We start from the raw sequence: 27,170 nt of genomic DNA on the forward strand, positions 1-27,170 counted from the left end.
TATTTTTTTCTTAAGGTAAAAGATCCCAACTACTAAAATAATTGTCCCCTGGATTGATGTTCTCCACTGATATCTCTAGAAGGCTATGAGCAGCCAAAAATAACTAAAAATTAAGAAGATCATTTTTGTTTTGGCTGAAAACCAGATGCTAGTCAAACTCGGGATCTCAACAGTTGCTACTCTAACTAACTTCTTACCTACTGCATTCAATCCAGGAGCATTACTTTCAGAAATTCCAAACAAGCAGGGGATCAGGTGAAATGCTGTTTTAAATGATGTGTTTTTATATTTTGACCAAATAATATCAGAATGGCTACATAGAGAAGGCTGTGGCCAAACTACATATATCAAATAATTGTGTTTAGTAATCTATTCTGTGCTCATTGGCCACAGTGTGGAGAAGCCTATACCTAACTGCCTTTGAATTAAAGGCATCAAAGAGACTCCATTGATGTGCAAATGTGAGGACCCACTCTGAGTGTTCTCTGCAGCTTATGACAAAACTGAGTATGGTCTCTGCCAACTCAGCACCTGATGCTGGCGGGAGGCTCCTTGAGCAATCTGCATGTTATGGATGGGGAGAGGGGACACCTGTCTGGGAGTTTCTGTGGAAGACAATATGCAGTCTGACTATTGTACAAAAAGACATAGCACCAAAGATGTTTGCTACAGTGTTACTTCTATTAGCCTAACATTGGCAACAACCTCAATGTCCCAAAATAAAGATCAAATTAAGTAAACTGTTATCTCCATAAACTGGGATTCTGTGTAGCTATCAGAAAGCAGAATACTATTCACAACATGAAAAGATAGTCACATTTCTACATGGTAAAAGATCATAAAACAGTCTGGAAAGTATGATCCAAACTTTGTAATTATACACACACACGCTGTTTCATATATGACACCAGAAAAAACCTTAAAGTATGTACCACAGCATGCTTACGGTCATTAAAATGGTGAGATCATATATTTTTTTCAAAATGCCTATACTAAACATTTTTTAATCCAACTTTTTTTTGAGATTGGGACATATTTAAAGTCAAAGTATATATTTAATGTAATGGGTGTTTTTCACCCCCAAATGATATTGCTAACCCTAAATCAATGTCTAATAAATTGAGGAAATGTGATATTTAAAATGGTCTTACTGCCTTGGGCTGTGTTGGAGCTGGTGGGCTTGATGACTCTGTTCGCATCCTCGTGGAGAGCTCCAAACCAATCCTTCAGCCGGGAGGCAAGGTTCCGCAACTCCTTGTCTGTGCAGGCTAGAGAAAAGCAAACAGAACAGACAATGGGGCTGGGGGCTTTCTGCCTTCTGTGTGCAGGGCTACTGGCAAAGCCACGTTCAAAGCAAACCTTTCTATCCAACCACGATATAACTGTTACCTCACGTGGAAAACACCCCAAAGATGCTGTTAGTACAAACAAAGAGTGGGACAAAAAGAGAGCCTAGACCCCCAGGGCAAGCAGCCTTTGTTCAGAACTTGAATTTGGATGGCCTCTGTGCTGTGAAAGCAAGCTGCAGTGGTCTCACCGTTGTGTAGCATCCTCAGAAGACAGACAATCACAGATCACTTTTGCTAACCGCATAAAGCTTGCTCTTGCAGTTTTGCCAGAGGAGATTACATTTTCCACTAAACTCATGCCAAGAGATTAACACCCAGGCACAGCTAATGCTCTTAGAGAGAGGCTGCCTAGGACACCAAAAGATCCTATTAATAGCAGACTCCTAATTTTGTCTTAGCCCAAGGTTTGGATTTGGGGATTGGGCCTATTTTGCTAGCCTTCCAGTGGTCTCATTCTTGACTTTCCACTGTAAACAGATGGATGCCTTCTCCATGAAACAGTCCTTTCAGCCCATCTATAACTATTTAGTCATTTCTTAGGGTAAGACAGAATCACTGGGGCAGACAGATACTCCTGAGAACAAGAAAATCCAGACAGATGGATGGGTGGGCAGGTGAGTAGGTAGGTGCAAGCTATTTGAAGGTCTTGTAGAGTGCTAAAACTTGAGGAAAGAAATCCCAAAGGAATAAAAATGGTGCAGAGAAGGGAGTTGACTTTCCCTAGCCCCTCCCTCTTCCCTCAGGGCATACGCTAATTCTTGGTACTGAGAAAACCTGCAAAGGGTCCAAGCAGTAGGCTGCTACCAAGACCTAGAGAACCCAGCAATGCATTTGGGGTCTTTAGTATCTGGAGAGACAGAAATGAAAGATCTGAGGAGTCAAAATTCCAATGAGTAAAAGGGGGCAAAGAACAGAGCCCCACATCTGTAACTTCTCCCATATTCTAAAGCTACAGGAGCACACTGCTAAGGAGTTAAGCAGAAATGCTGTTACAAGGCACAGCCAAGTTCTGAATATCTCATGGTGCTGAAGAGACACAGATTAGGGCTCAGAACCTACCAGTGCAGAGGGAGCCTGGGGGAATCCCTGGGGTCTTCACTGGAAGCCATAGGGACAGTGATGAAAAAGGAGTAGACACAGCCTCACCAAAACTCCAAGCTAGCCTTCAACCAACGCAGGACCTGATTGAATTAAGGTGATCAGCCCCCATCGGCCTGCCTTGCAAAAGACTAGGTGAAACTTCTCCAGAAGAAAATACCATGCAGATCCTCTCCTCATTTTTATCATCCACATATGCTTATCAGGCAAGCCCATTTCTCACCCTAAGGCTTGATGGAGAACCGAGCTTCCCAGAGCTCAGGCAGAAAAGGTCTTTCCCCACCCTCCATATTAGAGGAGAGGTGACCAGGCCCTGACTGGGTCTCTGCAACCTGGGGACTCTCATTTACGACGCTGCCTTCTGTCCAGGTAGGATCCAGACTCTACACTCTGCAAAGCATGGAATGAATGCATGTCCAGTGTTTATACCCCAGTTTTTAATGACCTTAAAACACTGCCTTGCTTTTAATAATCAGGGTTTGGCTGTATTTTAAAACACCAGCCAGGAAACAACACTGAGAAATGTCTCGACAGGGAGCAAAGAATAACTTCTCAGGAGTCGCGCTGGCTGGAATGAATCCCAGCTTTGCCACTCACTGGCTGGGTGACCTGAGACAAGTCAGCCTCCAGCACCTCGGCTTCCTTATCTGTAAAACTTCGGATAATATGGTTATATAAGTATAAATCAGACAATGTATATAAAGTTCTTAGCAAAGTACATGATATATGGTAATTACTTAGTATGTGCCACCTATGATTTTGATTATTATTACTATTGCTATTTTTAAACTGAACATTTATAGGTAACATTAGGGCTAGCATCACAGCATTCAGAAAGCCAACAACAAATCCACCTACACACAACTGGCTTTAGCCACATAAAATAGTTGCTTGTGTTATCTAGTAAGCTGCAATTAGCCATATATGGCTATTTACATTAATTAAAATTTAGGCCAGGTGCGGTGGTTCACGCCTGTAATCCCAGCACTTTGAGAGGCAGTGGATCACCTGAGGTCAGAAGGTTGAGACCAGCCTGGCCAACATGGTGAAAACTTGTCTCTGCTCAAAATACAAAATTAGCCAGTCATGGTGGTGCATGCCTGTGATCCCAACTACTTGGAAGGCTGACACAGGAGAATCGCTTGAACCTGGGAGGCGGAGGTTGCGGTGAGCTGAGATTGTGCCAGTACACTCCAGCCTGGGCAAAAAGAGCAGAAACTCAGTCTCAAAAATCAAAATTTAAAAAATCTAATAGATAGTTCCTCAGTTGCACCACTGCATTCAACAGCCCCACACAGCTAGTGACCTCCACACTGGACAGCACAGACGCAGAATCTTCCCACCGCAGCAGGGTGTCGTGCTGGGCAGCACTGAATCAGGTTAGCGATCATTTTGGGCTAACTTTCTGGAGCATCATCATGATATTCTGCCATCCAAGTTTGTTCCCGTACTTCTCCCCTTCAACTGTTTAAGATGAGCTGAGAAAGAAGATAAGCCCCCACAAGCCAGGAACCAGCATCTCTTGCTAAGCCATGCTCCCAAATAGCAGGGAAGGTAGTTGTTTAGTTGTTATGAAGGTGGAGAATCCTGGCTTAGCCCAGGTGCCAAGGCAGATCCTCAGGAGCAGGCCCTCCCAACACACTTATTGGATCCAACTCAGAACCTCGGGGCCCTAGGTTTTCACTTTTCTGACACTGCCCTGCTCTAAGCAGGAGAGAATGTGGCCTGTTTTTCTGAGGAAAATAGGTTGTGCATTCCGTAGTCAATTTCACATTTGAAAATGGGAAACTAATAGCCTCTATTTTTTCTCTATTGCCATGCGCACCATCTATTCTAAATGTTCTCTGAACAGAGAAAATTGCCAAGTCAACATGCAGAGGAAATCTCATGCTTCAAGATGAATTAGTCAGTCGTGTTTAACTAAACCCTGACAGATGTGCAGGTAATCTGTATCTTTACAAGACTGCTAGATTTTCCACAGGCTCCCCAAAGTACACAAGTCTTGGATGTCTGATCGGATCAGGCACTGAAATCCTGAAAGAATGAATCTGTCACTCAGGGACAAGTCCACTAGCAGGGAGCCACTGGTGTGGGTCGAGAGAGATCAGAAACCCGAAATGGAAAGAGGAGGCTCTCAGTTACTGGGCCCTGTTCACTCACAAGGTCTTCAACCGAATGGTCTGTATGAGAAGAAAGTCAGGCACAGGTTGCCTGGAGCTTGATACATCCCAAAGAAGGAAATAATCAAAGGCAACAGCCTGCAGAGGGCTATTTGTTCAAATTTGGTATTCTAGCCACAACACACAGGCTGGTGATGGGAGAAAAGTGCCTGCCTTTTAAGGTGCTCATCATCGCCCCCAATAAAGGTGTGAACAGGGGACTGAAGCTTTCAGAAGTGGGGACCCAGAGGATACATCCCACACACTTAGTACATTCCTAGGGAAAAGTAATGTTCGTGGGGTGAAAAATATAGTCATATATCCCCCTACTATTCTGGTGCCATTCTGGCATTCTACCCTGTGGCAATCCCGGCAATTTCTGGAGAGGGGTCCTGGCGAGAGGAGCAGGGCACTTGGGCTACCAGCATCAGACTCTTCAGAGGAAAAGACGGTGCTTTCTTGGGAGAGGATTTGGATTAATCACGAAGACCAAGACCTGCTTTCTTGTGCTCTCCTCACCCTCCTGGATGGACACGTGCCAGCTAGCCCTCTAATTCTCCCATTTTCAATTACATTCCCTCCCGCCCTCCATCCTGGTTTCAGCTTGCTTTTCATTGCTCTTGTGCTCCCAGTTTTCTTCTCAGCATCCTACTGAGAGGTGAAGCCAGCTAGACTTCCTGGGTCGAGTGGGGACTCAGAGAACTTTTCTGTCTTACAAGAGGATTATAAAATGCACCAATCAGTGCTCTGTAAAAATGTACCAATCAGCACTCTGTAGCTAGCAAGAGGACTGTAAAATTACCAATTGGCAGGATCCTAAAAGTAGCCAATCACAGGGAGGATTGAAAAAAGGACACTCTGATAGGACAGAAATGGAACATGGGAGGGGACAAATAAAGGAATAAAAGCTGGCCACCCCAGCCAGCAGCGGCAACCCTCTCGGTTCCCCTTCCACACTGTGGAAACTTCGTTCTTTTGCTCTTAACAATAAATCTTGCTACCTCTTACTCTTTGGGTCTGTGCCATCTTTAAGAGCAGTAACACTCACTGCAAAGGTCCACGGCTTCATTCTTGAAGTCAGTGAGACCATGAGCCCACTGGAAAGAACCAACTCCAGACACACTACTTCTCAATGATGTTTCCCCATTTACCCTACTGTTTCTACACGTTATGACGTATCATTTTTACACAATCTCCATCTGCTCCAATGGGCTGGTGTGTGAGCCACGTCTCTGGGATCCACTCCCCAGCCTCATATCTGCTTCTTCCCATAGTCAGAAAATGGTACCAGCAAATACTCATATATTCTCAGGGCAAACACTTGGGAATTGTCCTGGTTCACAGTGAAAAAGTTCACTGCTTCTTATCTCCACTGCCTCTATTCTAGTCTCCAATGCCACCACTACCTCCCACCAGGACAACTGGAACAGGCTCCTAATTGGTCTCCCATCTTGCCCCCTCCCTCCCCCGCCATGTTCCCTTCTCCATCCAGCAGCCAAAGTGATATTTCCAAAACGGACATTTGATCAAGTCACTCTCCTGTTTGAGACACTTCAGAGGCTCCCAGTTATTCTGTAGGTTAAGTCTAAACTCCATAATGTGAGCTAAATGGCCTGCAGGACACACTCACTGAAAAACCAAATCTCTCTTCTGTATCTGCTCCTCCTCAACCTTCACGCTCTGGCCTTACTGCCCCTCCGACATGCTCTTCTATTGGGAAACAAACACCTCTTCCCACTGCCTTGCTAATGCCAATTCCTCCATCAGATCTTGGCTTTAAAGTGACATTTTCTTAGAGGACTTCCCTAATCCTCAAACTTGAGATTTCTCTTTTCTATGCTCCCAATGCCTTGTTTCTCTGATAGCATTCATAACACCCATCTCGTTCAGTGCCCATTTCTCCCCTAGATCATAGCAACATAAAACATGCCCTGACTCTGCCCAGCACTGGGGACCCAGCATCTAACCCAGTCAGTTCCTGGCATGAAGAAAGTTCTCAATACACACCTACTGACTGAATAGAATCACCCTTTTACTGCCTTTTGTAAACTTCAATTTTTCCATCTGCAAAATGGTGTAATAAAGCTTAGCTCATAGCATCACTACATGGAATAAGATGAGACAATATTAGTAAAACATAGCTCACAGCTACTGGCATATAGCAGGAACTCAATAAATTTATGTTCCCCTTCTCATATCCCAACTGTCTGCATAATATGTTAGAATTGTATTGTTGTGCGTTTTTTAAGCCTGAGGAGATGCTTGTGATATAAAGAATAACATCTCTCCTTATTTTATACATGGGTCAGTAGAAGTCCAAGAAATACAGGTTGCAATATCTGTCTGCTGTGGATAAGTTCCAGGATTGGGAGATTGGTCTGACTTCCCCACACCCGTATTCTTAGCACTTGCTCTAAGGTACTATGTAGTAGTTGTTCAAAAATATATTTATCACTAAGTATATTTTAAATGAATGAACAATAGATCACAGACTCCCAATGTCAAACAGCTATTAAGTGGAAGAGACAGGATTTGAATCAGGCTGTCATCCTGCTGGGCCATCCCCACGTGCAGGACTTACTTCCTGGATATATTGGTCTTGTGGGCAGCCAATACTAACCTAACAATTAATATACTTGGTCCATACTCTGGGTTGAAAAAAATCAAAATATCAGGCCTTGCCTTGCGTAGGAAACTCTGCCAATGATGCAGGTGAGGTAGCTAGCTGAGCAATATAGGATGGAGGGAGAGCAAGTAGGCTCTCACCTTTGTTAGCTTTGGTGTGAGAACAATGGTCTTTTGGAAGAACTGCGAACAGCCTGCTGCCTGTGTCACATGTGTGGCCACTGGGGCTTCATTAGAGAAAGGTATAGTGCCATTGCACATTACTCCAAAATGTGGAAAAAGACAGCTCTCTCCCCCAGGAAAGCACAGCACTCAGGCAGAGAAGGGCCCAGGTAATTTGGTGCTCTCCCAGTGGACTTTTCCTTTCTGTTTGGAAAATATGAACAAAATGCAAAGAGCAAGTGTAAATAAGGCACGTTCAGTCTCCATGGAAAGTACATAGCCCTGGGAAGAAAACGTGATCGCTCTCCACCTGGCCACCTTTGCCCCCTCCACCCAAGGCATGGAGCTTTATAGGGCTTTAAGCTAGACTGGATTTGAATGCAGACAGTGTTCAAACATAGCTTGGAGTGCAGCATGAGGAACGCAGCTGATGGGAGGGAGAAGGAGGCATTGTTGTCAATACTGTAGGACAGAGAAGCTGCTCCAGGGTTACCGCAGCCTTGGTGGGGTTGTAAGGGGGAAGGGGAGCTCTAAGTTATTAGTATTTGCTTATGTGGCAGTTAGACTCCCCGGGCAGTAGTCTTTGGAGGAAAGAAGGGTTGCTTCTTACCTAGATGAGTGTCAGTAGTCTGGCTCTGCCTGTACCCCGGGACCCCATTGTCCCCTTCTCCCTGGCCCCTGTGTCCTCCCTCAGACAAAACCAGGGGCTAGTGAAGAGCTGGTGAGGAAGTTTCAAAACAGGTAATGGTTTTGAAAGTGGAGAGGTAGGAGCTAGGAAATCCAAGCGTCTTTGAAAAATGCTCCCAAAGGCTATAACTGGTGTTCCACGCTGGTCTCAGCTCATTGATGACTTCAAGGGCTGAATGACAGTCTGAAAAGCCCTTTCTGAGGATTTGACAAAAACGGGGAAGAAAAGGAAACAATCAGTGGGATAAAAAACATTTGGGAGATGAGATAAAAAATGGAAAGGGAGACAGAGGATAGAAATCCTTTATTCAAAGCTATAGTGTTACTATCTAATAGAGTAAGAAGTGGCGAGCAAGTGTGAGTGAGCGTGTCTCTGTTAGAAATCCTAACTGAAGCCACATTTGAACACCCAATTGGGGATGTCCGAAAATGGCAAATCTGACACACAGGCATCACAGGATAGCTGTAAACCTCTGTTGGGGAACCAATTACTGGTATATTCTTGTAATGCATGAAATCTTTCAGCTAAAGAACCAAAGGATAAAAATAACCCTACCCTACTCCTCCCCTTCTGTCACAGGACCAGCCCCCCTCTCTCAGGCAAACCTCACCAATGCGATCTCAGGGCTCTAGCAGAAGCAAATATGAAAACAATCAGAATTTAGTTTAAACTTTAGTGCCTCCGAAGGTGATTAAGGAGTTGGGCGAGACTCAAGTTCTCTTTGGGAGCAAGCTCGGAGGCCTCTCAGAAATGGAGACCTGATGCTGATTCTTTCAAACTAATCTCCTTCAGCCCTCCTAGGTGCTGTTGTGAATAATTACTTAATCAGAGCAGCCCTGGATCAACGTGCTCAGAGTGTTTGCAATTAGTAGCTCCTGTAGAAGGTCCAGCTGAGCCTTCCTTAGAGCAGTGATGAGTTGAGATGAAATAACACTTTCCAGAGTCTGGGTTCAAGCAAACACAAGGGTGCCTTCCTGAACTGCCTTGCCTGGGTTGGGTCTCTTCCCTCCATCATGGCATTCTCAGGCTGCTGGAAGCCTTCAGCAGCAAGTGTCTGTCTCCCAGTACAGCATGGTAGGCTCCTCCTCACCAACAGGGACCATGTCCCTCCTGTCATTCAATATCTAAGCAAACAGAAGGTGCCCCAGTGCTGGAAAAATGTGTAGGAACACCAAGGAGAGGATGCTACATGCCATGGGAGCATGAATGTGGAGAAGGAGTGAGTCTACAATTCCCTTAGGAATGTGGAACCCAATAAACTTGAATGCAAACAGGTGAAGATTGATTCTGCTTAGCACAGTCATTCTGCCTTAAAAGCTTAAAAACAGGAGAGAGAAAGTAGGCTCTGGGCTGGGCATGGTGGCTCATGCCTGTAATCCCAGCATTTTGGGAGGCCAACTCACCTGAGGTCAGGAGTTTGAGACTAACCTGGCCAACATGGTGAAACCCCATCTCTACTAAAAATACAAAAATTATCTGGGCTTGGTGGCATGTGCCTGTAATCCCAGCTACTCTGGAGGCTGAGGTTCCAGTGAGCCGAGATCACGCCACTGCACTCTAGCCTAGAAGACAGAGTGAAACTCCGTCTCAAAAAATAAATAAATAAAAAATAAAAACAAAAAATAGGCTCTGGAGTCAGGGCTGAACGCAGATCCCAGTGGTGCCATCCTCGCTGAGACTACGGACAGGTTACTTTTTAATCTTCAGTTTCCTCATCTCTAGAATGAAGGTGATAACAGAACTAGTATTAGGACCACGAGGAGAATGAAACTATAATAGAATGCACTTAAGCACTCAGCTCCAGGCTTGCCATGTGGTAGCACCAGGCCACACTCAGTAGCTGTCGGCTGTGATCTGATTTGTGTTTGTGGACACAGAGCAGCATGGTGATCCACCAAATAGAAAAGTATAGGAATCAAGGTCATGCATGTGATGTTTTCACAGGAAATGACCACAGGAAGCCATCCAGCAAGATAGGAATCTCTTCTATTGCTTTTCAGAGAAGGTGGATGATATCTCCCAGGTCCTACGGATGGTAAACGGCAAAACTGAATTCAAGCCCAGCTCTCTCAACTAGAGTTTCACTCATCTGCTCATCTATGACAACCCCATTCTCCCCAAGAAAATACCTCCTCCACAAGATACAGACCATGCACTTGAGTGCAAGGTTGGGACCCACACTCCCTCAGACTTCCAGCTCTCACAACCCTCAGTGTACAAGTTGTTGCTCTTCACGCAAGCCCTTGCTCTTCTCTGATCCCCTGCTTTTTCATCTGTAAAATGGGAATAATGTTTGTGGTGAGGATTTTGCTTTCAAATACTGACAGGCAGCCACTATTTCTTCTCTTCCAAGGAGCTTCAGGGGCTGGGAGCACTTACCCTTGAGAGGCTAATAGATAATAAGCTCCTTGCCATAAGCAGTTTTGTAATAGAAAACACAATAGGAGCTTACTGAAGGGATTTAAAAAACATATACAAGGTGAATTGCCTTTCTAATTGGAGATCATCTAACAGAGATCTTTGAGCCAGGTTATGCCTGCTCAAATTAAATTGCATTATATGTAATTCCAGCTTTTACTTTTCACTGCCTAAAACATCAATATATATGCGTGTTCTCTTATCCTTAGAGAATGCGTCATTTTATGTAAAAACAGGCATGAGCAAAGGAATTAGGTGCCATTATTCAGGAACTTGCTAATAAAGTCTTTAAAAAGCAATCTTTGGAAGAGTTTAAAATACTGACATTAAACTTGGAATAAGATGAGTTATACTAATTAATGGTACAATCTACAAGCAAAGATGGATAAATTTCCCTATTAAACCCATTAAGACTATTCTAGGTAAGCTGATTTGAGGAGACTTTAATGTTTCCCTTGATTCTAATGATAATCTTTCATCTGGAAAAAGAAACATTTAGAACTTGCATAATAACATCTGTAAATGTGCATTAGTGGAGTAACGCTTATTTTTTTTTTCTCCCTGAATAATCTAGATCAGGGAAGTTAGCTAGATGAAATAAGCTTTTAAAGCTTCTGATAAAATCCACAGCCACTTTCACACTCTGGGGCCAAAAAAAAAAAAAATTATTGGATATGCAAAATATTGGTTTAAAATGCCAAGTCTGGCTTTAGCTGTGCTCCCTAGCCAGTGGGTCAGCATTTCCCTACATGGGAGACTTGAAATCGATTAGCAGCATCATACCCAGCAGTTTTACTGAAGGATTTCATGGCCAACCAGACTTTTTAGGCCCTCAACTAATAAAGACTAAGCTGCAGAAATGACAACTGCTGTTCTCACCTAAAATCAGCAATGGCAAATGCTCTGAGATGAGGGTGTAAAACAGGCTCAACCTGGACTACTGAGAGAGCCATGGGGGAAGGGGAAGGACAGAGTCCTGGGAAAGGGGCTAGGTGATAATGCCTAATTCCTTCATGGGCCATCCCACTGTGGAGAGCCAGACTGAGTGTCTGAGAGTCATTTTGCCTTTTGTTAATGTATGAGCTCAACTGGCCAACAGCAGTCAGTGAAGGCTTCCTGGAGGAGGCAAGAATTGAACTGAGGCTCATACGCAGGGAGGACTTAGAGACATTCTAGGCAGGCCTTAGAAATAATGAGGAGCCCACTTTGAATAAAGTGATTTATTTTTAATGCTCTGCTCAAATTATATATACCATTTCTAAATCATAAATGTATATAAAATCATAAGTTGGGGCCAGGTGCAGTGGCTCATGCCTGTAGTCCCAGCACTTTAGAAGGCCCAGGAGGGTGGATCACCTGAGGCCAGGAGTTCATATTAGCCTGGTCAACACGGTGAAACTGTCTCAAAATACAAAAAATTAGCCGGGCATGGTGGCACACGCCTGTAATCCCAGCTACTCAGGAGGCTGAGGCAGGAGAATCACTTGAACCTGGGAGGTGAAGGTTGCAGTGAGCCAAGGAGGCACCACTGCACTCCAGCCTGGGTGACAGAATGAGACTCTGTCTCATAAATAAATAAATCATAAGTTGTATAAATATGTATATTTGTTCTGCATATCTGTTTAATCTATTCCACTATATTACATAATATATATGCATATATACATCTCAAGGGATGACTTCTGACAAAGGTAGCACCGCTTGTTCCAGGGCCAATATATGAACTTTTATATCTGTAAGAGGTTGTTGACAGAAGATGTCTTTTTAGGGTATGTACAAGTCTCTATTTCTAATGAGCAATTTGTGTCCAGTTTGACCTGCTCAGATTCAACATCCAAATCTAGGTATTATTGAACAATTTTAATTTCTATATTTTTTCCATCCCAGAAGCATCAAAATATGCATGTATGTTTTTACACTTAAACATGAGGTAAACTTAAATTGTTATTTAATGGAGCAGAAAGCCACAAAGAATTGGTGGAGGACCAAGCCTGGGATTTGAGATCAGATCCTGAAGGTGATAGGAAGCTTAGGAGGTGTCCAGAACCTGGGAATGGCTCTTTTATTTGGGAGTGGGAGGAGAACACTGGTACACTTTCATTCACAGATTACATGGGGAGGATCAGGCATAGACTTAAAATGAATGCAGAGAACCATGAGCTCCTTTTAATTCCCCCCACTACTCCACCATTGCCCTGGTTTAGAGTGGATGGTGCCATGGGGATATGGGTTGATGGAAGGGTGGTAGCATTGACTCTTTCTTGCAACAAAGGTCCAGCAGCATCTCCAGGGGTGCCAGAGTCTAAGGTAAGATGGTGGACATCGAGCTGGAGTTGAAAATTCCCACTTGGAATTGAGGCCAGAACAGAATAATCCTGGAGATGCCTGGACCAGATGCAGCAGGACACCTGCATTATCATGCTTCCAGTGAACAAGCTGATGAAGGAGGAAGATAGATAAATGAGGGTCTAGAGACAAACTGCCTCCTGAAACCATAAAGGTGTTTTAGGCTATTCCAAATCCTGCTTGCTTGGGTGTACGACTTACTACTCTTCTCACTCTTCAGGTCATGCAAGTCTCTCAATCATCTCCCCTTCTCCTGAGGGCATGATTAGGTATAGTGACTTGGCATGAAAAGTAGCTGGCATTCAAGCCTCAAGTGACCTCCTCTGGGCTCAGAGAGGATCGTGTGACTGGCACAGTGATAAAATGTTTGCTATTATTATTATCTCTATTTCTAGTAAAACTGCTATATTTGATCTACATTTCCTATTTAGAGATCCAGTATCTAACAACACAGCATGACATAGCTAGTAATTTCTCTCTTCCCCTCCTGAATGTCATATATAAACAACAATGTACCCAGGAAAAAAAACCTAAATTTTATTTTCAGTAAAACTAGGAGATATATCCCCAGGCTTGAACAGTACAACAGAAGCCACCCAGATGGAAGTTAAAAGGTCCAGGTGGACCAATAAAAACACAATGACCCAGCAAAAATAGACTTCCTACAGGCAAAGAGCTCCTTCTGAAGTGATAGACTTCTTGTTCAGCAAGAACTAAGGGATCTGGAAGAAGGGAGAGTGCACAGATTAAACAGAAGCTGCACAGGAAAGTAAAATAAGGGAAGGAAGAAAAGAGCAAAATGGCCTAGAGGCAGCAGATCTCAGAGAGCATCTACAAAATTATTCTTCTTGTAGGCAAGAGGCTTGCCATAAAGTACCACTTGGGTCTGGCAAGAAAATTAGAGACAGAGTGAGCACAGCTGATAAGAGAAACCCTCTTAGACCTGATCTGTTTCATAGAAACAGAAAAGATAGGACCATACAGAGGAGCCATTTTTATAGGAGGCCATCTGTCACTGGTAAATCCCTGAAGCAAGTGCCTTTGGAGTGTGAATCTATAAAGATAGCCTGGTTCTTCCCCTTCCATCCACAAGGCTTCCTTTTGAATAGGTAGGCCAGTAACATCTAACTTATTCCAATAATAGCTTTTTTTTTTAAAGGGGCTGGCAAGTTGATTTTTAAAGTGAGTTACAAAAGAGCAGCATTGCATCTATGTTCTAGGTTTTGAAAAAAAAAGGAAAAGAGCAAAACTTACCACAGAACACTTAGCAGAAAGATGGAAAAGACGAACATGTAGACCAAGTATAAAACCATGGATTAAAATGAAACAATCACCTTTGTAAAGAAAGACAACAAAGCAGTATTCAAGAACTCAGGGGAGAGATAAGGAGTCAATGAGGAAATGGTATGGAAGCATTTAGAACCCAGGGGAAAATGAAGCCAAAGTGGAGAAGCACAAGGGAGAACAGCACAAGGGGAAAAATACAAGAGAGAAGGATGCCAGAAATGAGAAGAGTGAACAACATGAAGAGGAAATAAAGAAGGAATTACAGAAGGTTACAGAGTAACATATAGCTATAGAGAAGAGACAAAGGAAACCCTATATATGGATAACTGAAGCCTCTGAAGAAACAAAAGACAACAATGGAACATGACATAATTTAAAATACAATTCATTAAACCACTCCAGAAATAAGGGTGGAATTTACATGTTTAAAAGGCACAGCATAAGCTAGGAAAAAGGGACCGAGAACGGTCAATACTAAGATCTACCTAAATAAAGTTACTGGGTTTTAAAAGTAAAGAAATATCTGGTTTGTCAAAGATCAGATGGTTGTAGATGTGTGGTGTTATTTCTGAAGCCTCTGTTCTGTTCCATTGGTCTACATGTCTGTTCTGGTACCAGTAACATGCTGTTTTGGTTACTGAAGCCTTGTAGTATAGTTTGAAGTCAGGTAGCATGATGCTCCCAGCTTCGTTCTTTTTGCTTAGGATTGTCTTGGCTATACGGGCTCTTTTTTGGTACCATATGAAATTTAAAGTAGTTTTTTCTAATTCTGTGAAGAAAGTCAATGATAGCTTGATGGGAATAGCATTGAATCTATAAATTACTTTGGGCGGTATGGCCATTTTCACCATACTGATTCTTCCTATCCATGAGCATGGAATGTTTTCCCATTTGTTTGTGTCCTCTCTTATTTCCTTGAGCAGTGGTTTATAGTTCTCCTTGAAGAGATCCTTCACATCCCTTATAAGTTGTATTCCTAGGTATTTTATTCTCTTTGTAGCAATTGTGAATGGGAGTTTGCTCATGATTTGGTTCTCTATTATTGGTGTATATGAATGCTTGTGATTTTTGCACATTGATTTTGTATCCTGAGACTTTGCTGAAGTTGCTTATCAGCTTAAGGAGTTTTGGGGCTGAGATGATGGGGTTTTCTAAATATGCAGTCATGTCATCTACAAACAGAGATAATTTGACTTCTTCTCTTCCTATTTGAATACCTTTTATTTCTTTCTCTTGCCTAATTGCCCTGGCCAGAATTTCCAATACTATGTTGAATAGTAGTGGTGAGATAGGGCATCCTTGTCTTGTGCCAGTTTTCAAAGGGAATGCTTCCAGCTTTGCCCATTCAGTATGATATTTGCTGTGGGATTGTCATAAATACCTCTTATTATTTTGAGATATGTTCCATCAATACCTAGTTTATTGAGTGCTTTTAGCATGAAGCATTGTTGAATTTTGCCGAAGGCCTTTTTGGCGTCTATTGAGAAATCGTGGTTTTTGTCACTGGTTCTGTTTATGTGATGGATTATGTTTATTGATTTGCATATGTTGAACCACCAAAAACAAGCAGTGGGGAAAGGATTCCCTATTTAATAAATGGTGTTGGGAAAACTGGCTAGCCATATGCAGAAAACTGAAACTGGACCCCTTCCTTACACCTCATACAAAAATTAACTCGAAATGAATTAAAGATTTAAACATAAGACCTAAAACCATAAAAACCCTAGAATAAAACCTAGGCAATACCATTCAGGACATAGGCATAGGCAAAGACTTCATGACTAAAACACCAAAAGCAATTGCAACAAAAGCCAAAATTGACAAATGGGATGTAATTAAACTAAAGAGCTTCTGCTCAGCAAAGAAAAAAAAAACCTATCATCAGAGTGAACAGGAAATCTACAGAATGGGAGAAAATTTTTGCAATCATCAATCTGACAAAGGGCTAATATCCAGCAACTACAAGAAACTTAAATTTATGAGAAAAAAACAACCCCATTAAAAAGTTGGCAAAGGATATGAACAGACAGTTTTCAAAGGAAGACATTTATGTCGCCAAGCAACATATGAAAAAAGCTCATCATCACTGGTCATTAGAGAAATGCAAATCAAAACCACAATGAGATACCATCTCAGGCCAGTTAGAATGGCGCTCATTAAAAAGTCAGGAAACAAAAGATGCTGGAGAGGATGTGGAGAAATAGGAACACTTTTACACTGTGGGTGGGAGTGTAAATTAATTCAATGATTGTAGAAGACAATGTGGCGATTCCTCAAGGATTTAGAACTAGAAATACCATTTGACCCAGCAATCTCATTACTGAGTATATACCCAAAGGATTATAAATCATTCTACTATAAAGACACAGGCACACGTATGCTTATTGTGGCACTATTCACAATAGCAAAGACTTGGAACCAACCCAAATGCCCATCAATGATAGACTGGAAAAGAAAATGTGGCTCATATACACCACAGAATACTATGCAGCCATAAAAAAAGGATGAGTTCACGTCCTTTGCAGGGACATGGATGAAGCTGGAAACCATCATTCTCAGCAAACTAACACAGGAACAGAAAACCAAACACCGTATGTTCTCACTCATAAGTGGGAGTTGAAAAACGAGAACGTATGGGCACAGGGAGGGCAAAATCACACACTGGGGCCTGTCGGGGGGTGGGGGGCAAGGGGAAGAATAGCATTAGGAGAAATACCTAATGTAGACGACAGGTTGATGGGTGCAGCAAACCACCATGGCACATGTATACCTGTGTGACAAAACTGCATGTTCTGCATATGTATCCCAGAACTTAAAGTATAATAATAAATACACACACACACACACACACACACACACACACACAATCAACACAGTAGCAGAAAAGATACCCAAGTAACTTAGGAGAGGTAAAAGGAATAAGTCTGCCCTCAGATTTCAGCACGGCAATATTCAAAAGAGGAAGTCAATACAACAATATCCTTAAAACAGCCAAGAAAAGAAAGTTGAACCAAGGATTTTACATCAAACTGTGCTATCAATAATAAATACTTCAGGAAACCAGTTCTATACAGTTAACCAGGAACTACTGTTCTCATGAGCCCTTCCAAAGGAAATACTAGAGAATTGTAGACAACTGTGGTGACTGGAGTGACAGATAAGAAGGCAAATGCTACATACCCTGTCAATGAAGAAATGATACAAACAACAACAAAGAGGGGAAGGGAGGAAGAAGATGCAAAGTACAACAAGTTTACTGATGGCCTTAAACATAATAGTTGGAGTCAGATGACAGAATTAAAAGCTGAGTAATATAATATTGAACATATTTCACTGAACAAAGATTAAACCCTAAGAGGATAATTGTATCAACTATGATCAAGTGTCAGGAGAAATGAAGGGGAGGCTAAACTGGGGGAGAAGGGAAGAGAGAGAAGAATCATATTAATTTTATCACTGTTTTAAGTGAGAACATTCCTGAATATCAGAAGAATGATACACACACATGCCCTGCCACACAATATTAAAAAACGTAAAGGAAAATATGGAAAAATAACAGAGATGATAGTACTAAACATAACTTTTTACTTCGATAAGTCTAAATGAGTTAAAATTCACCTCTCAAAAGAATAAGATTTTATTTTCAGACCAGGTCACAAAGAGAAGCCTAACTCCATATTGATTTTTACAAGAAATATAACAATGGCAAAGTGATTCAGAGAGGTTGCTAGATATTTTGACCCCAAAATTTCACTTTGGGACTAACACCTACAGATAAGCATATAAATACATTTGAAGTAGCATGTATAAGGCTATCTATAACAGCATTATTTGAAATAGCAAAAGGCTGGAAACATTCAAATGTCCATGGTTAAATCAATTATAGTATATCCACCAATGGAAAAACTATAAAGCTACTCATATGAGATGCAAAGATCTCCAAGAGAGGTCAAATGAAAGTGCAGAATAGTGTATATTCTATACTATATATGTGTTAAAAGGTAGAGAGATAATCTGTATTTGCATTTGTTTCTATGTGCATCAAGAGCCTCTTCAAGCATACACAATATAAATACATATAAATGAGTGAGCAAAGGCAGTGCAGGGTAGTAGCCCTGAGGTGGGAGAAAGCTTGAGTGATATGAACATAAGAGACTTGTTAGCTATAACCCAAGACAGTTTGCACCAATCCATCTGTTCTCATGCTACACACTAACATTTTTCTTTTAAACCAAAAGGGAGAAAATAATTCCTAAATGCAGGATTTTTTAATCAACACAATCTGTGTGCTGTTCTCCATTCTGCCCTGTGACCTTGGGCAGGTCTAAATTCAATTCCAGCACTCCCTAAATCAGACACTCTGGGGGATACAAAGATGATTAAGACATAGCCCTTGCCTGGTGCTTGGTCTCCCCTCTCCTAATTTGTAAAAGGAGAATGCTTTCCCTCCACTGAGTTGGTGGAATTTTAACAAGGAAGACACAGACCCTCTCTCTCTCAGAATCCTCCTTCCTGAAGAATCAAGGTTTGCTTCAAATATGTGTTCACCTGGGGAATCTTCTCCCAACACCCATCCAAGAAGAGTCTACCTCCCCCTCCTTGGGGTGTCCCCAGGGCCCTATTCATGCAGTTCTACTTTTCCATGCCATATCACAACCTGCTGTCTCTTTTGGACTCTGAGGTCAGATGCAGTAAGAATTCTGCAGTAGTCACATCTATACTCGCCCGAGTTCCCTGCAGAGTGCCTGGCCAAAAGTCGGCATCAATATATGTTTACAGGAGGTGCAAAGGGAAGAATGTGAATACTTAAGTGAAAACGCTGCTCCAATTACCATAACAGCACCAAGAATAAACATGCCAAACAGGTCATGGCCAGCATGTACGTTTGAGGATGTTGTGGAGAGATAGAGCCACCATGGAGAGGGATAACTTCCAGCCAAACAGAAAATGGACTTGCGAGGAAGGGAGGGGCAGGGAGAAATGCATGTGTGTGGGACACTATGATGTAGCACAGATAAAAAGACACATATTGTCTCAGTGAAGCCTCAGGATGTCCTGGGAGGGTGACACTATCATCTCTACTACATACCTGAGAATACCAAGGTCCCTAAACAGGCTAGGGGGCTTGCTCACTCCAGCCTCCAGTTCCCTCACCAGCACACACATAAAGGCCAAAGTGAACATTTGACACCAGGACAAAATAACTCAAATCTGTGCTCTTAACTTCACCCATGCTGACTAATTTATGAAAAATATGGCCTAATTCTTCTACCACAGATATCACGCCAACATCCCTTGCCTGAGAACAGGAATTACCAGGTACCTACCACATGCCGAAATTGGGTCTCTGGGTTTATAGATTGTTGCTATCCCACCCTGATAACACCTCAGACCTTAGCTTAGCCTGGTAGCAGCCTGAGGTCCCTGGAATGTCATTTTCATGTTTCTTCGCATATTGTATTGAGGGATGCTAGAACGATTGTACACCTAGCTTGTTTTGCACTGGCTTCTCATTCCTGTCTGGATAGTTACCACTAAGTAATTTAGTTTATCTGTGTCTCCACAAGCTTATTTGAAAACCATGGAACGCTGCTTACAGAAAATTAAGCTTCATTTTCTTTAAGCATCCAGCCAATAGCGCAGGCAGGAGATGGTGATTTGGAGGTAACTGGCTTATGCATATGTAAACATGATGCATTTAGCAAATTATATAGACTTCGCACTTCAGAGCATTGAAGAAAACAAAGGTACCTTCCAAAGAAACTTTAGTGCAATTGAGTCATTCTGAAAGGAATACAGAATTACTGGTTTGTGAGAATAGTTGAGCTCAGATATGAATGGAAAATAATGGTGTGGAGCACAGGCATAGACAAGAATTTGAACAGGGTTAATTTTAGGTGGTATTACGGCATCTCTAAGGACTCCCAGGAATTATACCCCATAACGTGCCTTGAGATTGAATTCATGGTGTAATGAGGTTGTATGTTTCAGACTCAATTCCACTGTGACTCTTCATGCTTTCCACAATTTCCCAGCATGTTTTTCTCCCTAAGCCCAGAGACAGAATTCTAGACATGCCTTGTGTTCACAAAGGATTGCAATGGTTAAAACATCCCTGAAATTTATTACATACCTTTTCCATTCTCCACCAGGTCCTTTTGCCTCAGTCCCATCTACCACATCAGCAATAAATTGCACTGATAATGTAATTAAAAATATCACCCCAGAAGAGCAACCTTATAAGCCACTGTTATGGACTTTAGAACTCCTGGACAAGTCAAATTAGAGTACTTGGGTGTAAGTAGTTTCCAATTTGTAGCCCAAAGTCAAGATGGTTCATTTGTCTGCAGGTGCTGCACCTAAGGGGTCCACTAGCTTGCAGTGCTCAAACTGCCAACAGTTGACTGCAAGGGTCCAAGTGGCACCAGTGCAGTTCAACTTGTCATGTTCATCAACATCAACACCAGGAGTCCCGAGAGTTGCCATATATTAAACACCTACTCTTGCCAATACCCATGTTAGCACTTTGCCTTCATTTATTTCTTTTTTCATTTAATCCTGGAGAAAATCCACTGAAATTATTATTTCAAGTGACTTTTATCCAGCTGCCACTGACTGCTTGTTGTAGGACAGGCACTCTACACCCAAATGTGATCTCATTGACTCAGCACACGAACGTTCTGTGAGGCGAGGATTTTAATTCATATCCTTTTTCCAGACTGTGAACCTGAAGAAGTTACAAAACATGTCTAAGTCAAGGAGCTAATAAGTGGCAGAACTGGGAGTCACATTCAGGTCATGGCCACAGTCATGTCTGTCCTGTTGTATCCTGCATTCTCACCATTTAAAAAGAGGTTCTAATTGCCAGAAAATGAGGACGAGCTGGAGAAAGAAGCACTTTGGGCATGCAGAGGTTATGTTGGTCTCTGGTACATAATTCTTCCCTTTCTTCTCCCTGCCATCCTCCCACACACACACACATGCAATTCCAAGTGATAGATTCATTAATTCTCACAACTCTTTGAGGCAGGCACTATTTATCATTCCCATTTTACAGCTGTGGAGACTGAGGCTTGGGGAAGTGACATAACCAGTGAAATATATAATAGGGTCAAAGTTTGCCCCAAGGCTGTCTGATTCCAGGTCCCAAACTCTCAGCCAGAAGGTTCTATAATAGTTAATCTAATAATTAGAGGCATGTTTCTGATGGTCCAAGAGCTAATTCTAATTAGGGTTCTGCCTCAAGATGAGGGGCAAACACTGAAAATTATGACCTGTTAGATTTTCTGTAATACTTAAGTCGAAAAAGCACAGGTGGGTGCAAAGATGATGTTGTACTCTTACAACTATAAGGCTTATCATAGAAAAAATAACCTAGAAATAATGTCTAATATTAGGGGTTAAGTTGTGGTTCACAAATACGTTGGAAAACTGCGAAGGCATTAAAAATTTGCCAAAGAAGAATATTATGACATGGAAAATGTTTATGATACATTAAGTGAAAAAAAGCAGCTTACAAAAGCATCTATGATTTGACCCCACTTTTGTAACATGAAATGAATAATGTGGATGTGTGGAGTGAGTTGGAGGGAGAAAGAGAGACACAGAGAGAGAGACAGGGGAAGGTATATAATAAAAGGTTAACAGTGGTCTCTGACATGAGAAGAGCATGGTTCTTTTTCTCCTATTGCCTATAGATGTTTTCTAATTTTCTACAATTAACATTGTATCCATCATTTTGTGATTTCTTTTTAGGTTTTGTTTTGTTTTGTTTTGTTTTTTGGCCTAAGAACTTGAATGTATGTGGTATAAGACAAAAACACTCCGATGAGACTCAGAAAAGATTGCTGGAGATCAGAACAGACTATCTCAGAGTCTTGAGTTTGTGGATATTTCCTGAAAAGTCTTTCATGATAACATTCACTTGGCAAACTTTCTTTGTTGACTTGGACTGCAGCCTCGTGTTAAAGAGAGTTTATTTAAATTTGCTTAACCTGGAGGTTCCCCAATTTATATGACCACACAACATTTTTTATGTGCAGTATATAATTGGTATCTTGCAGCTCTGAGGAACCCAGTCTGGGAATCATTTGCCTAGAGAACATTTTTTATTCATATCTATGATCTATGTGTAGTCCGAATGCCAACCTCTCCCTCCAGAAATTCTCATTCTCTAACACCTGTAAAACTAATGAATTTTTCCTCTCTGCATCCCCCATAAATACTTTCAGAATTTAACTAAATGAAGCAGAAATATTTGTACTCCCTCTAGACATGGGATACCTGGATCTGTAGACATAAATTCCAGTCAAAATACTTTGTGAAATATGAGACACTTCTCTTTTTCACTGCATCTACTGCTAATATTGCTAAGAGTGTTATAAACAGGAGTTACAGTTTTTTTTAAGAGCTTGCCTTGGGAGCCGGGTCAGCAGAGATCTGCAGGTAGTGGAGACAGTGGGGGCGCATCGGGGTAGTAAAGATGGCTCTGACTATCTCCTTCCTTGTTGATATAGTTTGGATATTTGTCCTTGCCCAAATCTATGTTGAATTGCAATCCCCAGTGCTGACAATGGGGTCTGCTGGGAGGTGTTTGGATCATGGAGGTGGATCCCTCATGGCTTGGTGCTGTCTTCATGATATTGACTTCTTGCAAGATCTGGTCATTTAAAAGTGTGTGGCACCTCTCTTCTTCCTCCCCCTATGCCCCCACTTCTCTTGCTTTGTTCTGTTTTTGCCATGGGATATGCTTGATCCCACTTCACCTTCCTTCATGAGTAAAATGCTTTCTGAGGTCTCCCCAGAAGCACTTGCCAGCACTATGCTTCCTGTTCAGCCTGCAGAATCGTGAGCCAACTCAACCTCTTTCCTTATAAATTACCCAGTCTCAGAGGTATTTCTTTACAGCAATGCAAAAATGGCCTAAGACACTCACTGAGTCCATTTTCCTTGGCCATGTGGTCCCAAGTAGGGGTGTGGTCTAAAGACATTCAGGTTCACACATATATCCTTGCTAGTCCAAGAGTGGAAATCTTTCGGCATCAAGATTTGGAGTTTTATTCAAAAAGTGCCCTTAGACATAATTTACAAGCTAGTTAAGCCTGCTATGCCCAGATTGTAAGTATCCAGGATAGAGGAAGAAGAGAGAGACCCTCTTGGGTCTCTCAGATCTATCCACAAGAGGGACTTTCTGTGTCAATATACCTGAGCTTATCACCCATAATGGAATATGTACATAGCTAAGACTCATTAATCCAATTTTCTATCTCAAGGGATATTAGAATCCTGACAAGAACAAATTCCTGAGAGGGTCAGAATATCTTTTATTTAGTTTGTTTTGCTTTTTTAATCTTGTGTAATGATGTGAAAACCGCCAAGGACTCCAGCAGAAACCACCCATTTATCTGACAGTTATTCTGTACACGGTGGGGGTCTTGCTGAGAAAACTTGGCAGGGTGAACAGACAAAGGTCAAGCCCATTTGGAGGTGACTTCTCCAGAACAGATAGATTCTCTCCTGTGAAATTAAGCTGGAGCTAATTCAAAAAGTGTCTTTGGGTAAAAGCGAATTCTGAAACCTCATTTTTCTACTTTTGCCAAGAGGTGGCTTAAGTAGCTGTGGAGAAGAATTTGTAGCATGGTTATCACAGTAGTCTTGGGAAAGTAAAATTGGTCTGCTTTTTAAAGAACAGAGCAGGCCAGGCACGGTGGCCCATGCCTGTAATCCCAGGACTTTGGGAGGCCGAGGTGGGCAGATCACGAGGTCAGGAGATCGAGACCATCCTGGCTAACACAGTGAAACCCCATCTCTACTAAAAATACAAAAAAAAAAAAAAATTAGCCAGGCATGGTAGTGGGCACCTGTAGTCCCAGCTACTTGGGAGGCTGAGGCAGGAGAATGGCATGAACCTGGGAGGCAGAGCTTGCAGTGAGAAGAGATTGCGCCACTGCACTCTAGCCTGGACGACAGAGCAAGACTCTGTCTCAGAGAGATAGATAGCAAAGCAGAGATTCAGACACTAGTGCTGGTACCATTCACATTCACACTCACATTCAGGGCACATTTTCCCACAAGGTTCTCCTTCCCCAAATAGGAGCCTGAAGGAATCTGGGAAGCACAGTCAGAGCCCTAAAAGGTCCTGCTTTGGATGTTGTCACCCTTTGACAGTTCTCAGCATGGGAGAAAATGGGGTCTGTTTGTGTGCACACATGCATATGTAATAGACTGTAATAGACTACAGAGGGGGAAATCCCATCCTGCCCTTCTGCATGCAAATCCTCTCAAGGTGACAGATTTGTTCTGAGACATGTCTGTGGCCTGCCCCTCTGGAGGCATGGAGCAGATCCCAGGAAGTGGCCACAGAATGGGACTGCTTTTAACATCCCCCAAGTCAGGATACCATTTTAAAAGGCTCTAGCACCTAAGCACGTGACAATGAGCCCAGTGACAGATGGCTTTTAAGGGAACCTAGCCAGCGTAGAGAAGTGTGGAGGAAAGGAGGAGAGAAATCATTCCATATTGTGGTTCCAAGATTTGGAGTCTGAAGGATACTCCTACTGAAATGGCTAGAGTTAGGCAGGTCAACTTCACTGCAGAAGAAGGAGAAGGCCTAGGGGAGATAAGGGTGATGGAATCAGGGTGTCAATACCCCACTGGAAAAAAGGCCGCTTTTCATCGCAAAATCAGACCACTAACAAACCCCCGCACGTTCCTACCTCTGGACCTTTACAAACATGAACATCCCTCCCAAACTGCTATGCTCTCCTTGTGAGCTCTGAGATTTCACTCATGTGAATACTGGTAAAAATAATATTCCCACCTCACACATTGTCAGGCAGAATAAATGAAGGTCATGCAATACCGCAAGCACGAGCACAGCAGAAAGTGGGTATTTAACAAGCCGGACATCCATAGAACACTCATTCTCTGTCTTACGTACTTAGAACTCTTTGCAAGTGAGGAGCTGAATAGATAATACGTTCATAAGTTGAAATTCAAATGGCATTTCCCAAATAAGAAGACCTAGAAAATAAATCCTATACCAAACAATAAATTTTCTGTGGGAAACAGGCTTGTACTAAAAAACCCAGATTATAAGAACTTGGAAAAATCAAACAGGTCATCTTAACACCAACTGGTGTCTAACAGTGAAAACATGAAGAAGTCATCTAGTTCTTGCACAATTTTTATCACAGGGACGGGGTATATTTTTCTAGACTTCCGGAAGGAAACAAACAACCCAACTTAGAGTTTGAGTTAGGGTAGAGAAAGGCTGCCCAGGCATCAAATGAGGCTGTCTAGGACCAAAACTATTTGCTGTATTTTAAGAGAGCAAAACAATCAAAAACAGCAGCCTACTATGGCCTCACGTTCACAATGCTGTGAGATGGCCCTGCAGGTGGTCCAAGAAGTGGAACCTAGTGGGGAGTAAAGGAGAAACCAGGAACAATGGGGCTTTGTTTTGGGTACAGGTGTTGGGCCACTCCTATGTGCTCAAGCACATGTGGAGGCTGGAGCGCTGAGGCTCCTCCTTCTGACTGGGAAGTACTCGAGGCCCTGCAGCATGCTGTGGCCCCCACAGTTCTCCTCCCCTGTTCTTCTAGCTGGCCTCACACGACCTGCTGAGGCAGGAGCTCTCAAGGCTGCCTGCTGCTTATGTGAAGGGAGGACCTCAGCTACCACAGAGCGAGGAATTAAATAGTCAACTCAGCCACAGGAGGCAGCACATGTGGCTTCTGGATTTGAGTCTGCCTCCCTACAAGGCTTTGGCAACTACAGACAGCATTACATTTCTGTCTCTCTTATGGCAGTACCTTGATGTGGTAGGAGCTTCATACACAGTTGCTATTGGCTACCAATTAAGAAGCTGAGGCTGGTGTTCTTGCTTCTTTTCTGAGCCAAATTCCAAGGGGAAATTTAAATGACTTAAAAAGTCATAAAAGAAAACAAGAATAATAATTTTGGAATTACATTATTCTCAACACCTAGCTATGTATATATGTAAACAAATAATATGTAAGTAGGGTCTTTGCTCTAATAATTAAAAACTATAATATTGCAAGATTCTTTAGACAGAACCACAAAACAATATATGACGCTGAAAAGGTAATAACACAATGAATGTCTTAAAGGACATCATAATAGAATTATCCAACCAGTGGCATCATTATATTTGTTATTTTAAAAGAAAAAAGTTGCAAAAAGTTAAAACTCCACCTCACAAAACACATCATTGTAAGTTTTACAGGGATTAAAGGATTAGGCTAAAAACAATTAACAGTACCAATTATTAAAAGATGAATAAAGAGGGGGTCTGTATATATCAAAGCCATAAAGGAAAAATTTTAAAAAATTCTAAAATCGAGTATAAAAATGAAAGGTTTATGTTCATTAAAAGACTCACTATAGCCCCACACCGTGGAAGACAGCCTATGGGCAACCAGCCACAATTACATCCAAGCAAATCAAGCCAGAAAATTCTCCAAATTACAATTCAATCTAAAAGTCCCCAAAGCTTAGAAGGAAACATCTAGCATTAATTGCCCTGTGTCAGCTTCAGCCTGGAACAGTGGTTCTCAACCAGGGCTAGTTTTGCCCCCGAGGGGACATTTGGTAATGTGTGGAGACACTTTTGTCCTTCATAACTGGAACAGTGCTACCAGCATCTTGTGGGTAGAGGCCAGGGATGTTGTTAACATCTTATAATGCACAGATCAGCCCCCAGCACAGAAAAATCATCCCACCCAAAACGGCAACAGTGCCCAGGTTGAAAAACCCTAGTGTAGAAGAGAAAAGGGGTTTATTCTGTGGAAGATATGACTAAGTGGGGACCAGTCAGGTGACCTGGAGGAAGAAGTGGACACAGGTCTAAACCTCAGGACTCTGGTCAACGTGGAACCATCACTGGGTTAATTCCTACTATAATACGTATAAATCATTACCCTGCATATATTAATAGTTGTAATTTGCTGAAGCCTTCCTTTCCCCTCACCTTGTCCCCTCCCTCAGGTATCTCATATAGTGACAATGAAGTGTTAT

At 42.2% G+C, this 27,170-nt stretch overlaps 1 protein-coding gene across 1 annotated transcript in view; it reads right to left on the minus strand.

Moving 5' to 3' along the window:
• Positions 1–27,170, minus strand: part of SPOCK1 (SPARC (osteonectin), cwcv and kazal like domains proteoglycan 1) — a 524,029-nt gene that overhangs the window by 16,035 nt on the left and 480,824 nt on the right. The window contains exon 7 of the mRNA NM_004598.4: positions 1,152–1,268. Within this exon, the coding sequence (NP_004589.1) occupies positions 1,152–1,268 (117 nt within the window). The remainder of the gene's footprint in view (positions 1–1,151; positions 1,269–27,170) is intronic.

Source organism: Homo sapiens, chromosome 5 (genome assembly GCF_000001405.40).
Source record: "Homo sapiens chromosome 5, GRCh38.p14 Primary Assembly".
NCBI classification, from domain to species: domain Eukaryota; kingdom Metazoa; phylum Chordata; class Mammalia; order Primates; family Hominidae; genus Homo; species Homo sapiens.